The 16,598-nt window shown below is 41.3% G+C and overlaps 1 long non-coding RNA gene across 1 annotated transcript; it reads right to left on the bottom strand.

Moving 5' to 3' along the window:
• Positions 1–321: 321 nt before the first annotated feature.
• LINC01203 (long intergenic non-protein coding RNA 1203) lies at positions 322–6,906 on the bottom strand. Its single transcript, NR_045260.1, has 7 exons — positions 6,835–6,906; positions 6,602–6,665; positions 6,450–6,488; positions 5,687–5,768; positions 4,199–4,252; positions 2,048–2,221; positions 322–416 (listed from the first exon to the last, which is right to left on the bottom strand). It is a non-coding gene; the product is annotated as a long intergenic non-protein coding RNA 1203 (long non-coding RNA).
• Between the last annotated feature and the right edge of the window lie 9,692 nt (positions 6,907–16,598).

Genomic DNA, 16,598 nt, shown 5'->3' with positions numbered 1-16,598 from the left:
TGTGGATGACATACCACAAACTCCAACTTGATTTGGAGATCCATCTCTGACAAGGCAATGATTTAGAATAGGGTTCCTCAACATTGGCACCACTGTCAGAGCATTCTTGGTGATGGGAGCTATCCTGTGCATTGTACAATGTTTGTAGCAGCATCCTTATCCTCTACCCACTAGATGCCGGTATCACTCCACTTGCCCACCCTTACACCGCCTCCCCAAGTGGTGACAACCAAAAATGTCTAGACATTGTAAAATGATGTCCCTGGGGGGCAAAATAGCACCTGGTTGAGAACCATTGATTGAGATGAGAATGACCATGAATAAATTTCACCATTGTATTATGCCTGTATTTCTGCATTTTCAAAGTGGAGATACTATTTTTCCAGGTGTTTCTTCTAAAGCTTTTGTTTGGATTTCTGCGTCAGAAGAAGGAAATGAAAAGAATGCCTTTAAGAATCTCCTATTCTCTCATATCCTTCCTTCTTACTCATGCTTGCTAGCTTTTTTCCCTCTTCCTACTGAGAAATAAGTAATGTTTTATTGAATTGGTTTAGGTTTGCAGTTTCTGTTTCCCTGCTTCACTAAGAATATATCAATAGATACATACTTTGCCACAACAATAAAGAAAAAATACTTTCTGACAGGTGGTCCAGGCTGGACTTCATTTTACAAAGCATTCCAAGGGGGCTGGGCGCGGTGGCTCACGCCTGTAATCCCAGCACTTTGGGAGGCCGAGGTGGGTGGATCACCTGAGGTCAGGAGTTTGAGATCAGCCTGACCAACATGATGAAACCCCGTTCTACTAAAAATAGAAAAAATTAGCTGGGCGTGGTGGTGGGCGGCTATAATCCCAGCTACTCGGGAGGCTGAGGCAGGAGAATCACTTGAACCCAGGAGGCAGAGGTTGCAGTGAGCCGAGATTGCACTACTGCACTCCAGCCTAGGTACGACAGAGTGAGACTCTGTCAAAACAAAACAAAACAAAACAAAAACCAAACCCCCGCAACACCCCCCCCCAAAAAAACCCAAAGCATTCTAAGAGATTTCATTTTATGAAGTATCACAAAAGACTTCATTTTCTGAGCATCAGGAAAGTTGTAAAGGTATGTTAAGTCTTCTTCAAGCAAAGGACTGCTGGGCTGAAGCCCCAGGCCTTCTGTTTCCTTGAGGACTTTCTGTGGCTTGGAGGAAAAGCGGAAACTCTCTCTCTCTGGGCATTCTTTCTGCCTAAGCCCACCAGGGAGCTACATAAGCTTAATTAATGTTTGTAAAACATTTTTGAGATGAAAAACACCATTAGCTCAAACCACTGCTATGAAAAGTATTGTTTTCGAAACTGCATCCACACATTAGCTGTCTTAACTAGTCTTGAGGGAGACAGAAAGAACCAAAAGTACCAAATGGTGACAGAGGAGATGATGAAGCCCTAATGGGACTCCTGGCTCCAAGGAGGAGCAGTGCTGGATGGATTCATTCCTATGTGTGCTGTATGTGTCCTGCTTTCCAGAACAGCCTCCAGCAACTGATTATTTACGTGAGTAAATAACAAAAAATGCTGTTTTATGCCCGGGATGTTGCTGAAACAAGAAATCAGCATAGTCTCATACCCAGGGTGAGAACCAGGAGACAGAATTGGCTAGCTGGTGAGGGTGCATCTGCTAAGAGATTTAGACAGTAAAGGATGACTGTCAGAGGCCATAAGGCCCAGGAAATGTCCTAAACACACGGCTGCTGAGCACAGACAAAGCCTTTGTGTTGTATAGAAAAGAATCCCCTCTGGGCACAGCCCTTTCCCAAAGCCATGGTGAGACAGCCAGGTGGGAAGGGCTCCCTGGCAGAGCCTCCGACCGACCTGCACACTGGAAGGAGCGCGCAGTGGGGTGGAGCCACAGAACGTCCAGCTTTTGCAGGGGAGAGGAGCCTTGCCCCTCCTCTTCCTCGGTGGTACCTGAGAAGCCCACGGGCAGGAAGCACACTCTCTTGCTTTGCTAGGTGTCTCTTTTCTCCTTTTCTTCCTTTTCACCCAATAAAACCGTGCCCTACTCACCCTTCAAATAATCTGCAAGCCTAAATTTTCGTGGCCGTGTGACAAGGACCCCGTCTTCAGCTGAACTAAGGAAAAGTCCCCAAACAATGGGAAGAAAGGCAGGGAGTAGACATCCAATTTCCTGGCGTGGATTGTGGAGGGGTACCATGGTTCTGACCAGATGTGTATCAGGAGCTTGGAATTCATAAGCAGAGAGGTAAAGCAGAGCTGAATTGAGGAGGTGTCCCTTCGAGCTGGCATGGTTTGGTAAGCAGGGTGTGACCTGGAATTTGGCCCTCGATCTAGCTTTTACAGCCTGGCATTCTGGTGTGCTGCATAACCTGTGTGGCCAAGTGCTGGGCCTTAGAAGACCAAGCCTAGCAGGATGGAGTTGCACCTCTGAGCTGCATCTCTTTAAATTGCCTCAGAAAGAATCTGGAAGCTGCTGGAATACCTACTACCAAGGTCTTCCACCAGATTTCTGGCATCTTGCCCTTCCCTCCCTCTTCAGTTAGTTAGTCCCAAGTCACCACTCCCTTGTCGGGAGACTTGTCCCAACTACCTTCAAACTGTATAATCCTTCACTACCATCACTGATGACAAGAGGAGAGCTTGATAAAACTCATGAAGCCTTGCATTTATTTGTGAGTCTGTTATAAAGTTCTAAAGTTCAGCACTTTATCTTTCAATACGTTAGGGGAAAAAGTTATAAATATATCTGCTTCTGAGAACTTTAAGCTTCATGTTTCATGTAATAATTTATCTTTCATTCCAGTGTTGGTAAAAAACATATTTTTCCAAAGAATCCTGGTGTCTGTGGCTTTATTGGAGGAGACACAGTATTTTTAAATATGAGAGCTTCATCAGAGAGTGATTTTCTGGCCTATGGGTTTGAAGACATTTGGCACAGACAAGTAAGTGAGGTCACTCTGCTCTCTTTTAAAGACTGTCCATTGCATTTCAAAGGAAACCCAAGCTCCTCCTCACGACAGGCAGGGCCTTAAAAACCTAGCCCTTGCCTCCCCTTGGGCCACTTCCATCCCTGCACACTGCCCTTCATCCACACTGCCTCTCTCTGTCCTCTGGATATGTCGTTTCCCCTTGCTGTTCTTACAATGCTTACACCTTCACTCTTTATCCGACTGGCTCCTTCTTGTCATTCATTCTGTGCTCCCCTCAGAAAGAACTGCCCTGACCACCCAATTGAAAGAAGTCCTTTCCCCAAATTACTGTCACCTTACTTTAGGATATTTATTTTTAAGTTAAAAACATTTAAATTTCTATTTTTTCATCTTCAGTGTCCAGCTGGAATGGATATTTTTATAGCACTTATTACTCTGCAGTTAATATATGTCCTCACCTCTATATTCTCTATTATGTCCAGGGTGACTATGTAATGTATTATCCAAACTGAGACACTCTTGAGAGTGAGAGCTATTAATAATTATAATGAGACAATGAAATAAGGTGAGACTCTCCCAGGGACACAAGAATGTATGGATCATTGGAGTTGAACCCATTAGAGAATGTAATCTTCCTTAGGCATGAACTTTGTGTGGTTTCTTCACTGTTGATCATCAAAGCAGGGAATTGTACCTACTACCAGTAGGTACCTACTGTTAAATGAACAAATGACTTCTATATGCATAGATTTACACGTTTAAATGTTCCTTGTCATTTTTGCATTTTTCCATATATTAAATATGAGTGTATATATTTACAATGTCATTTTAAGAGAAAGAAATCAGAAAATTATATGAACCTTATGTTCCCTATATGATATGTATAAATGTGGGTAATGACTGATAACAGGGAAAAATAAAGTGTTTATATATTTTAGTGATGGTATAATGGTTTTTTCTTTCTTTTTCAATTTCTTTTATCCCTGTAACATTATCTGTAAAATTTTCAAAAACTAAAAGGCAAAAATGGAAAAATGAAAGAATGTTTTCTTTAACATATCTGACCCTAAGCTACATCTCTAGCTCTGGCTTGCCTCTGTTTTATGAACTCCAAGCTCCTCAAACATATGTAGCCAGAACCATGGTACCCCTGCCACAATCCATGCTAGTAAAATATATGTCCACTCTCCTGCCTTTCTACCCATGGCTCAGTTCCAATAGAGGTTACATGTGAACATCTGATGGTGGAACCTAAATCATGCTCACCCACCTGTGTTGCAGGAAGTCTCAGGAATGAAGTTGATAGCTTTCTTTCCATCACATGCTGAAAGAAAGAATGGTTGTTGAATGAGCCAATCCATAAAGAAGCATTCATTTACTTCAACACATATTGAGTACCTACTATGTGGATGGCCCAGAGGTGACAGCAACTTGTTGAAAGCTTTTTAAACCCTCATTTCTTTAACCTTTTTTCCATAACTATCTTAATCTACTACTACAGGTTAACCCCTTTAACTTCTATTTTCCAGCAGAATTATACTATACGGGTCTTGGTCTGACATATTTTCAATGGTGTTGAAATACAAAGCAGTGATTCTATACCCAGATGAACAATAGCTGTGAAATGGATCCTAGAAGAATGGTAAAATCAGAGGAGAATGGAAGGTCATGGGTTTCCCATTTGGCTGAATTAAAATTCAGACTAGGTTGCTTCCCTTCCCCTTTGTTGGAGACATTTATAGCTAGGGGTTTAAGACTGAGATCCAGGCTTCCTTAAAGAAAGTTTTATTTTGAATTTCAACAAAAAGCAAAGTGTATGATGGAGAGTCTGACCAACTGGATATATATTTCCACTTAAAGAAGCTCTTGTATTGATTTAAAGAAGCTCTCGAACGCTTGTTTTATTGCTTTTCAATTGGTCTCAGGTTTTCAATAAAGAAAATAGGAGGCCGGGTGTGGTGGCTCACGCCTGTAATCCCAGCACTTTGGGAGGCCGAGGCGGGTGGATCACGAGTTCAGGAGATTGAGACCATCCTGGTCAACACGGTGAAACCCCTTCTCTACTAAAATACAAAAATTTAGCTGGGCATGGTGGCGCGTGCCTGTAGTCCCAGCTACTCGGGAGGCTGAGGGAAAATTCGTGGTTTTGAGAATTGGTAAAGACTCTATCATTTCCTATCTGAACATTTAAAAAGAAATCATGGTAACATCAAGTGTTAGGGACACAACCATCACTTGTATCTATATGAAGATCAGGTAATCTGTGCTCTGGTTTAGGTCTCTCCATCATCATTTACCTCAAAACCAGCAATATCACATATTAATTACCGTAGATAGGCTCACCGTGATCTCTTGACACACCCTGGAAAACACATTGTGGGAAATGGGTTTGGTACTAGTCTAATTCTACTTGTACAGCTACAAATTCCCTTGGTTTCTTGAATCTTTTGGGGCCCACAAAAGCTAGATAAGGGCAGAACTACAAAGTCAAACTATAGGAAGAGGCACCGTCTACTCTTTGACAGATACCTCCAAAAATCCCATGGCCAATAATGTGGTGATGAGCAATATGATAAAATAGCAAGATACCTGCATATATGTCTATCAGTACAAGTGTTAAATACACATTATCTCAAAAGAAAAATACATTAAAAACTCATGGTTCCTGTTAGTAGTAGGGATAATTTAATTTTTAAACTGCATACATGCCATAAACAAGGTTTATGTAACGGCCTTGAAAACACCATTCATTACTTACATGACTGAAAAGACGAAGGCATCTAATGAGTTAGAGTCACACCATCTCATGCCTGTATACTATCAAACAACTTTTGGGAAGCCTGAAAAAGACAAACACAGTAACACTGTGTTAGAGGGACCATACTTGCTTACCTAAAAATCTGAAGAACAGGTGGTCTGTAGTGTGGTAAGACCCAATTTATCACTGACCTGGTTACTACCAAGAACACATAAATGACCACTGTTAGGTTCACTATGATTTCATGACTATGGGTACCTGAAGAAACACATTCAATGATGAATGTGTTTAATGAAACACGCTGTTTTACCTGCAAAAAAGGACGGGGCACCTGCAACTTGTATCAGTCATTTTCCTCATTAGAGGAACCACCAACACTACCTCGATCTTAGTAGAACTTTGAGATCAACACTAATGTTAGAGATACCATCATCGCTTGACTTAGAAATCTCATTGTTCATACTATAATGTGGAAGAGTAGGATAACTCACCTGGATACCGGCATAGCCCTCCTTAGAGACTAATGTTAAACACACATTATATCTCTTTTATTTTTTTAAGAGACAGGGTTTTGTCCTGTTACCCAAGTTGGAGTGCAGTGGTGTGATCACAGCTCACTTCAGCCTCAACCTCCTGGGCTCAAGTGATCCTCCCGCCTCAGCCTCCAGAGTAGCTCATACTATAGGCACATGCAACTATGCCCAGCTTGGTTAGATACTACACATTATATCTAAACTGTAAAATAATAAGGGCTAATGCTTACTAGCCTTGGTTGGGAAAACATCATTTCTTAACTGAATGCCTGCAAAAAAACCATGGTAACACAAAAGTTAGAAGCACCATCCACACTTAATTATAGATCTGATGATCAGATTGTTTTCTGAGTGCTTGCTTAAGGCCCACGTCATTACTTACCTGGATGCAAGCAAAGTCTCATTCTTGATCATGATGAGGTTTACCATGTCTTCTTGACAGGATCCTAAAAACACATTATGACAAATGTGTGTAGACACAGCTTTTTTCCTTGAACCCCACAATTAAGCTTATTCACTACCATCATTCCAAGAACCATCAAGTATACCTGGAATCTTGCAGTACTGCAAGGTCTATAGCACTGTTACAGATACCATTTTCTCTCTACTACTTACCTGCAAACAAACCCACAATTGCTACTATGACATGCAACTCCATGGTTAATTCCTTGGATAGCAAATAGCTCGCCAATCACAAAGTTAAACATAAATTTTCTCTAAAATATAAAACAGCAGGATAACATGGTTGCTGTAGTTAGTAAAGACTATCATTTCTTACTTGAGTACCTATGGAAAAAAATCACACAGTAAAAAAGTTTAGGTAAATGTATAACACTTACTTAGATATATGAAGATCTGGCCGGGCGTGGTGGTGCACGCCTGTAATTCCAGCACTTTGGGAGGCCAAGGTGGGTGGACTGCTTGAAGCCAGGAGTTCGAGACCAGCTTGGCCAACGTGCCAAAACCCCATCTCTCAAAATACAAAAATCAGCAGGATGTGGTGGTGCACACCTGTAATCCCAGCTATTCAGGATGCAGAGGCACGAGAATCGCTTGAACCTGGGAGGTGGAGGCTGCAGTGAGCCGAGATCACCCCACTGCACTCCAGCCTGGGTGACAAAGCGAGACTCTGTCAAAAAAAAAAAAAAAAAAGATATAAGAAGATCTGATGGTCTATGATGTGGTTAAAGAACACATCATCACTTGCCTGCATACCAGAAATGTCTGCCATACCAACCATTGTTAGGTTTATCAGGGTCTCACTACAGAAACCTGAAATACACATTGTGAAATATGTGTTAAAGGACACAAACATTTCCACCAAGACATCTGAAAATAACCTTCGTCACTCCATCATTACAGAACACATAAACTCTACCTGGATACTTGTAATAATGCAAGATCAATACCACTGTCAGGTAAGACGGTCATTTCTTGACAGGACACCTGTAAAAATCCCCTGGTTACTGCTGTGGTAAGAAACACCAATAACCAGGATAGGCACTATCACTCAAAACTCAGAGGTTAATCATAAAGTTATTCTAAAATATAAAAAGTGAGAAAAATAATGTTTTTTTAAATTGGTAAGAGCTCTATCATTTCTTACTTGAACAGCTACAACAAAATCATAGTAACAGAAGTGTTAGGGACACCACCACTTACCTATATAAGGGAAGATCAGATGGGCTGGGCTGTGTTTTAGGCCCACATTATCATGCACATCCATACGAGCAATGACCCCTGTTAACTATTACTGATAGGCTCACTGTGACCTCTTCAAATGAACCTAAAAAATATACTGTTGAAAATGTGTTTCCTAAATGTCTCATTCTACCTGTACACCTGCAAATTCCCTTCGTCTCTTTCATCATTTCAGGGCCTATCAAAGGTAACTGGATGCTTGCATAATGCCAAGGGAAAACACTCGTAAGAGAAACTTTCCTCTCTTGAAGTGATACCTACAAAAATCTCAGCATTACAGTGATGGACAATATGATAAATTACCTGGATACTCGCATATCCATATATCACTACAATTGATAAATACACATTATGTCTAAACAAGAACACAGTAAAATCTCACTCTTACTAGTAATGTTAGGGAAAAAGTAATTTCTTAACTGCATGCATGACAAACACAAGGTTACAAGAAGAGTCTCAAAAAAATCATTAATCACCTACATATCTGAAAATAGGAAGGTTGCTAATGTGTTAATATCACATAATCTTCTACCTGTATACTAGGAAAGAACTTAACAGGATACCTGCAGGAATACATGGTAGACAAGTGTTAAGGACACCATCCTCACTTACATGGAAATATAAAGATCTAATGGTCTGATTGTGGGAAACACACTTTCTCAATTAGCAGGTTACAGCACGGTTCCATTAATGACTATTGTTAAGCTTGATTGTGAGCTCATTACAGAAAACTAAAAAACACATTGCTCAAGTGTGTTTAAGGAAACAATTTGTTTTACATAAAAAAAGACAAGACACAAATAATTCTGGGCACTTCCATCAGCAGGGAACCTTCAACACTACTTGGATTTGCCATGACTTCAATGTCAACAATGTAGTGGCACCATCATCTCTTGATGATGTTGAAGTCTCATGGTCAATAACGTGGTGGGAAACAGTAGGAAAACTTACCTGGATACCTGCATATCCCTCCCTCACTATAAGACTAAACACATTATAACTAAACTCTAAAATAATGACTGATGCTTACCTGCGTTGGTTGGGAAAATATAATTCCTTAACTAAATACCTGCACAAAATATGGCAACACAAAAATTAGGAAAACCATCTACAGTTACCTACATTTCTGTAGATCACATTTTTGTAGGGTGTTTAAGGCCCACATCATAATTGGCTTGGATACCAGCAATGTCCCATTGTTGATCATGATGAGGTTTCCCATGACCCCTTGAGAGGAACCTGAAACCACATTATGACAAATGTGTCTGTGGACACAACTCTTCCACCAGAACCCTGCAAATAACTTGTTGGCTGTCATCATTGCAGAAGACATAAATCTACATGGAATTTTGCAGTATTCCCAAGGTCTACAACCTTGAAGGACACACCATTTTTTCTTGACTACCTATCTGCAAGGATACCACAGTTACTACTATGAAGCACACCACGTTGTTATCTGTGTACACGCAAATCATTTGATACTCACAGCGTAAACCATAAGTTTTCTCTAAATTAAAAACAATATAACATGGTCACTAGAACTAGAAATACTGTCATTACTTACAAAAATCACTGTTATAAAAGCACATGATAAACAGTTCACGTAAACAGACATCACTTACCTAGATATATGAAGATCAAATGGTCTGTGATGGGGTTAAAGTGAACATCATTACTTACCACAGATACCAGAAATGTGGCCTGATAATGACCCCTGTTCATTGGGATTTCTTCCAGGAATCTGAAAAACATATTATGACATATGTGTAAAAAACACGTAACATGTTCTAGCAGTACAACTTGCTAATAGCTTTGGTTGCATTTATCACTATGGAAAACATGAACTCTATCTGGATACTTTTAGTACTCCAGGACCAAAACTATTGTCAGACACCTTCAAAATTTCCACGTTTACTACAGCAGATGGGAATATCTCATGATAATCTGAATATGTGCAATCCAACAACACTCACAGGGCAAAACAAATGTTTTCTTAAAATATAAAGAGGACTAATTTAACTGGCGTGAGATGGTATCTAATTGTGGTTTTGATTATTCCTCAAGGATCTAGAACCAGAAATACCATTTGACCCAGCCATCCCATTGCTGGGTGTATACCCAAAGGATTATAAATCATTCTACTATAAAGACACATGCACACGTATGTTTATTGCAGCAATATTCACAATAGCAAAGACTTGGAACCAACCCAAATGCCCATCAATGATAGACTGGATAAAGAAAATGTGGCACATATGCACCATGGAATACTACGCAGCCATAAAAAAGAATGAGTTCATGTCCTTTGCAGGGACATGGATGAATCTGGAAACCATCATTCTCAGCAAACTAACACAGGAACATAAAACCAAACACCACATGTTCTCACTCATAAGTGGGAGTTGAACAATGAGAACACATGGGCAGAAAGAGGGGAACATCACACACCGGGGCCTGTCAGGGGGTGGGGGGCTACAGGAGGGATAGCATTAGGAGAAATACCTAATGTAGATGACGGGTTGATGGGTGCAGCAAACCACCAAGGCACATGCATACCTATGTAACAAACCTGCACTTTCTGCACATGTATCTGAGAACTTAAAATATAATTTAAATAAAAGATAACTGAATTTTCAAAAAAATTTATATATATATATATATATAGAGAGAGAGAGAGAGAGAGAGGAAAAACCCTTGGCTTTGAGAGGTGATAAGGACTCTACATTTTTTTTGGTTTTTTTTAGACAGAGTTTCGCTCTGTCCCAGGCTAGAGTGCAGTGGCGCTATCTTGGCTCACTGCAAGCTCCGCCTCCCGGGTTCATGCCATTCTCCTGCCTTAGCCTCCAGAGTAGCTGGGACTACAGGCGCCCGCCACCATGCCTGGCTAATTTTTTGTATTTTCAGTAGAGACGAGGTTTCACCGTGTTAGCCAGGATGGTCTCGATCTCCTGACCTTGTGATCCACCAGCCTCGGCCTCCCAAAGTGCCAGGATTACAGGCGTGGGCCACTGCGCTCAGCCAGGACTCTACATTTCTTATCGGAATATCTGAAAGAAATCATAGTAATGACAAGTGTAAGAGCCATGTTCATCTCTTATCAAGAAATACGATATTCATAGGCTGTTTTTTGGTTTAGGTTCACATCAGCACTTAGTAACATAAGTATCTGCCACTGAAAACCAAGGTTAGATTAATCTTCATCTCTGTAATAGGATCTCAAAAACACACTACGAAAAATATGTTTCAGGACACAAGTTTGTACATCAGAAAAACAGCAGATAAACTTAGCTACTTCCACAATTATGAGACATATCAAATCTACCTGCACAACTTCAGTGATACACGGTCAAAATCTATGCAGAAATCCATTATTTCTTGACTGGACACCAGGAGAAATCCTATTGGCAGAACAGGGGTGGGGAACACAGTGATAAATACCTGGCTGGTTACCTGCAATCCCTCAACACTCTCAGGGTTCAGCATATACTTTTGGTGAAACAGAAAATGTGAAAACTCGGCCTACCTGGGATTGGTAAGGACTCAATCATTTCTCTCCCAAATACCTGGGAAAGAAATCACGATGGGAAGACATGTAGGGACACATCATCACAGAACTAGGTCTCTGTAACAGTCCCACACTGCAGGCTGTGGCACTTACCTCACCCAGCAATGTCCCACATTACCTAGGATTGAAAGGCCTGCTGTGATGCCCTGACACACATCTGAAAGACATATTATGGAAACTGCTTGGTCCACAACCTATGCTACAAGGACAATCACAAATACTCTTGTTCACTGGCATCATTTCACGACTCATCAAGGCTACCTGGATAACAGAAGAACTCTGAGGCTACAGTCTACAAGGGATACCTGCAGAAACACCACAGTCCACATCTGGGTGACAGACAATATGATCAACTACCTGGGCATTGGCATATCTGTCTATTGCGTGGAGTGTGAAATTTGCAAAAAACAAACAAACAAAGCCTTACCTCTGAATAAGCAAACAGTAAAATCTCATGCTTACTGGCATTGGGAATCACTAATTATTTTTTCCCAATGACACATATGCCAAACACAAGGTTACTCTACCAGACTCAAAACCGTCATTAATTTTATCTACATGCAGGAAACACAAAATGTCTTTCACGAGATAATGTCACAACATCTCCTACCTCTCTACAGGAAGAGAACTTTACGGGACTCCTGCAGGAAACCATGGGAAAAACAGTGTGTCAAGGAGAGTGCCCTCTTTGTCCAGGAAATCTGAAGTTCAGGTGGTCTGTACTGGCATAGGACTCATGTGATCAATTAACCAGTTACAATCCAGGGCCCCTGAATGGCCGTTCTCAGGCTGGCCTTGATCTCATGACTAGCAGCAGCAGAAGAAATGCATCTGACAGGTGTTTTCCGGGATGCCACTTGGCGTACCTGAAAGACGAAAAAGATATGCACTACACAGCCTGGTCACTGCCATCATCTGGGAACCATCGGCCTTACCTAGATCCTGGCAGAACTCCAACTTCCACCCCACTGCTGGCACCATTATTGACTCTGGACTGAGGATGTGTCAGAACTATCATTCCATCCTGTGGTCTGGTAGAGTAGGATAATTTACCTGGACACCCACATCTCCCTCAGTCAACACGGACTCAGGTTCAAGGCACATTTTCCTAAAGTTGAACATAGCAAGGACTAATGCTTACCAGTCTTGGTTGGCAAAGCATCGTTTCTTAACTGAATAACTGCAGAAAATAAAGAACAGAAAATGAGCCGAGGAACCCATGGCAGGACAGGGACAAGAGCCAGAAAGCCATCTGCATTTACCTGTGTATGGGAAGATCGGATAGTCCGTGGCCTGCTTAGGCCCACGCCATCACCCACCTAAATACAGGCACAGTCCTCCGCTCAAGCACGAAGAGGTTTCCTGTGACCTTTCCACGGGAACCTAAAACCACATATGTGACCAATGTGTCTATGGACACAGCATTTCCACTAGGACCATGAAAACCGCCTGCTCACGATCATCGTTGTGGGAGCCAAAATTGTACCTGGATGTTTGCAGGTCCTCCAAGGTCTAGGCCATTGCAGGACATGCTATTTTCTCTGGCCCGCTTCTCTGCAAAGCCACCATGGTTACTCCTGTGATGCACAGTGCCATGTGAATTCCCTGGGCACGTGCCAATCAATCAGCACTCACAGGGTACATACCTCATACGTTCTCTCCTGGACTGAAAACAACAGGATCACATGGCAATGAGAACGGGGAGCTACTACCCTTTCTTACCAGAACACCCATAAACCCATCACATGGTAAACCGTTCAGGGAAAGGAACCTCACTGACCTAATACATTAAGATCAAATGGTCTGTGTTGAGTTTACAGCACATACCATCACTTACCCAGATAGCAGACACGTCCCCTGATTGTGTCTCTGGTTAGTTAGGATTTCCTCCCGGGAACCTGGAAAGCATAAACTGAGATATATGCCTCAGAAACACACAAGCTGTTCTAACAGGATACCTGCAAATCACGATGCTCACATCCATCACTGAAAGACTCTTACCTGGATGCTGACAGGGTCCCCAAGCTCAGGGCCGTGGTCCCAGAAGACAGCATTTCTCTCTACAGGACACCTGCAAAATGTCTACGGTCACTGCTGTGGCTGGGAAAGCCAGATCATTACCTGGTATTTGCTGTCCCACTGCACTCACAGGGTTAGTCATTGTCTCTGAAATATGCAGAGGGAAAACTCACAGTTTACTATGCCAGGGAGTCTTACCATTTTTTCCTAGGACAACTGAAGTGAAATCATGGGAACAACAGGAAGGATGGACACCATCATCACTTTCCTAGACTGCTGAACCTTACGTGGCCCGTGCGTTGCTTTCAGTCCTCATCAGTGCTGACCTCCAGACCTGTATCATACTCATTGTGATGTCACGGTCAGGGGCTGAAATAGGCATGAAAACATATACGTAGAAGGACACAGGGTTTTCCACCAGGACTCCTGCAAAGAACCTTGAGTTCTTCCAGCTTTATGGGACACACCACTCGACCTGGATACTTGCAGTAATCCTAGGTCGACCCTGATAGCAGAAAACCACCGTTTCACAACTGGACACTTCCACAAATCCCAGGGGCAGTATGGGGGTGGGTAATACAGTGATAAATACCTGGTTACTTGCAATCCCTCAACACTCACAGGGTCAGCATACACTTTCGGTGAAAGAGAAAATTAGAAAACCTAGCCTATCTGAGATTGGTTAAGACTCAATCATTTCTCACCTGAATACCTGGGAAAAAATCATGGCGGGATGACGTTTAGGGACACATCATCACTGAACTAGTCTCTGTGACAGTCCCACGCTGCGGGCTGTAGTTAAGGCCCGCATCAGCACTTACCTCTGCCAGCAATGTCCCATGTTACCTAGCTTTGACAGGCTTGCTGCGATATGTTAATGTAAATCTGAAATATATATTGTGAACAGTGTGACTGGTACACGTATCATTCTACCTATATACCTCCAATCTTTTCTGGTCCCTTTTATTATTTTTGTAATCATCAAAGGTACCTCAATACTTGTAGAAATTTGAGGAAAACGCCTTTTAAGAATCCTTGTACTTTCTTGATTAGATCCCTGCATAATTCCAGTTGTTAATTTCATGGTTTTGGACAATACTGTTAATCCAGATGCCTGTGGATTTGTGTAGCTCTGTAAGTGTTCAATACTCATTATCTGTCAAGACATGCAATAAATTCTCTTGATTATTTGTATTACTAGAGGCATATTTATTTTTAACTGCATAAATGTGAAAAACAAGTTTAAGTTAATATTGTGTAAAACATTAATAAAGTTGATATCCGAAAATACCAAGGTGTTTTACATGTTAATACAACCTTATCTGGTAGCTGTATACTAGCCCAAAAACCTGAATGGATTACCTACAAAATACACAGTAGCTTAAGCATTAGGGATCCCTTTTTACCTACCTAGAAAATCCAACGCTCTGCATTGTGTAATTACCCCCATTACAGGACGCAAACAGTTATCACTACCTGTTTACAAGCAATGTTTCATTACTGAGCATTATGTGATTCACCTCATAGTTTTGACAAGAACCTGAAACATCATATAAGACAAATGTGTTTAAGGTCACAACTTGTTCTCCCCGGGCACTTGCCTACAACCTTGTATGCTTCCATTATTTTGGAATACACATCAACTCTACCTAGATACTTGCTTCAATTCAAGGTCAACATATCTTTGTTAGAGACACCATCATGGGTGGTGATAACTGCACAGCTGATAATATCCCATGGTTGCTACCCTGATGGGGAGCCACAAGATATTTTCAAGGACACATGGAAATCATTGACCACTCACCTGGTTAAATGTAAATTTTCTGTGAAATACAAACTCTGGATTAACACGTCTGCTAGAATTAATAAAATGCTATCATGTTTTGCCTGACTACGTACCAAAAATCAAATGGTAAAACTTACCTAGATATATAAAAATCAGATGATTCATGATTGGTTAGGGTGTGCATCATCACTTACTTAGAGCAGAAATGTTTTTATTAACATCCACTTTTAGTTTCATAACAATCAGTTCACAGGAACCTGAAACACAATGTGAATATGTGTTAAAGGATGCCATGTTTTCCAGGAGGACACTTGCAAATAACCTTGCAGAGTTCCGTCCTTATGAGACAAATCATCTGTACCTGGACATTTGCAGTATTCCAAGGACAACACTGTTGTCATATCAAACTATCATTTCTTGAGAGGAAGCCTAAAAAATTACGTGGTTTCTACTGTAGTGAAAATCACCATGATCATTGCCTGGATACATGCAATCCCTCAAACTCAAAGAGTCTGCCATACATGTTCCCTAATATATGAAAAGTAAAGACTCACGGTTTCTAGAATTGATACAGGTTCTATGATTTTTTTCCTGAACCCCTGCCAAAAAATCATGGAAAAGGCAATAAAGAAGTGCTTGGGGCGCTGTCATCACTTACCTATGCACATGATGATCAGATGGGCTGTGCTGTGCTGTGCTTTTGTCCCACACCATCTCTTGCCTTGATACCGGCAACATCCCATCTTTCACAGACTCCCTGATTACCTTTCACAGACTCACTATGATGTCTTGACTTGGATCTGAAAAACACATTGTGGAAAATGCATCTGGTATTGTGGAAAATGTGCTTGGTAAGTATCTTCAGATACCTGAACACCTGCAAAGTCCTTTGGTCACCTGTATCATTTCAGGACCCATCCATGCTACCTGGATGCCTGCTGAATTCCAAGTTCAAACCAAGGTAAGAAACTCCTTCATCTCTTGAAGACATATCTGCAAAATGACCAATAACCTGGTGATAGATAAGACTATAAATTACCTGGATACCTGCATATTCATCTGTTGCTCGGAGTGATAAATATGCATTATCTCTAAATAAGAATACAGGAGAATCTCATGTTTACTAGTATTGTTAGGAACTAACTCTCTAACTGCACACATGTCGAAAACAATGTTAATATATGTGTCTTAAGGATATCACTAACTGCTCAGGTATCTGAAAATTAGAAGCTCTCTCATGAGTCAATGTCATATGATCACTTACCTGGACACCAGCAACGTCTCCTGTTAACAAACATATTTAGGTCC

Source organism: Homo sapiens, chromosome X (assembly GCF_000001405.40).
Source record: "Homo sapiens chromosome X, GRCh38.p14 Primary Assembly".
In the NCBI taxonomy this organism is placed as follows: Eukaryota; Metazoa; Chordata; class Mammalia; order Primates; family Hominidae; genus Homo; species Homo sapiens.
Note: the sequence above shows the minus strand (reverse complement) of the source record. Positions and strands in the feature narration are given on the sequence as shown.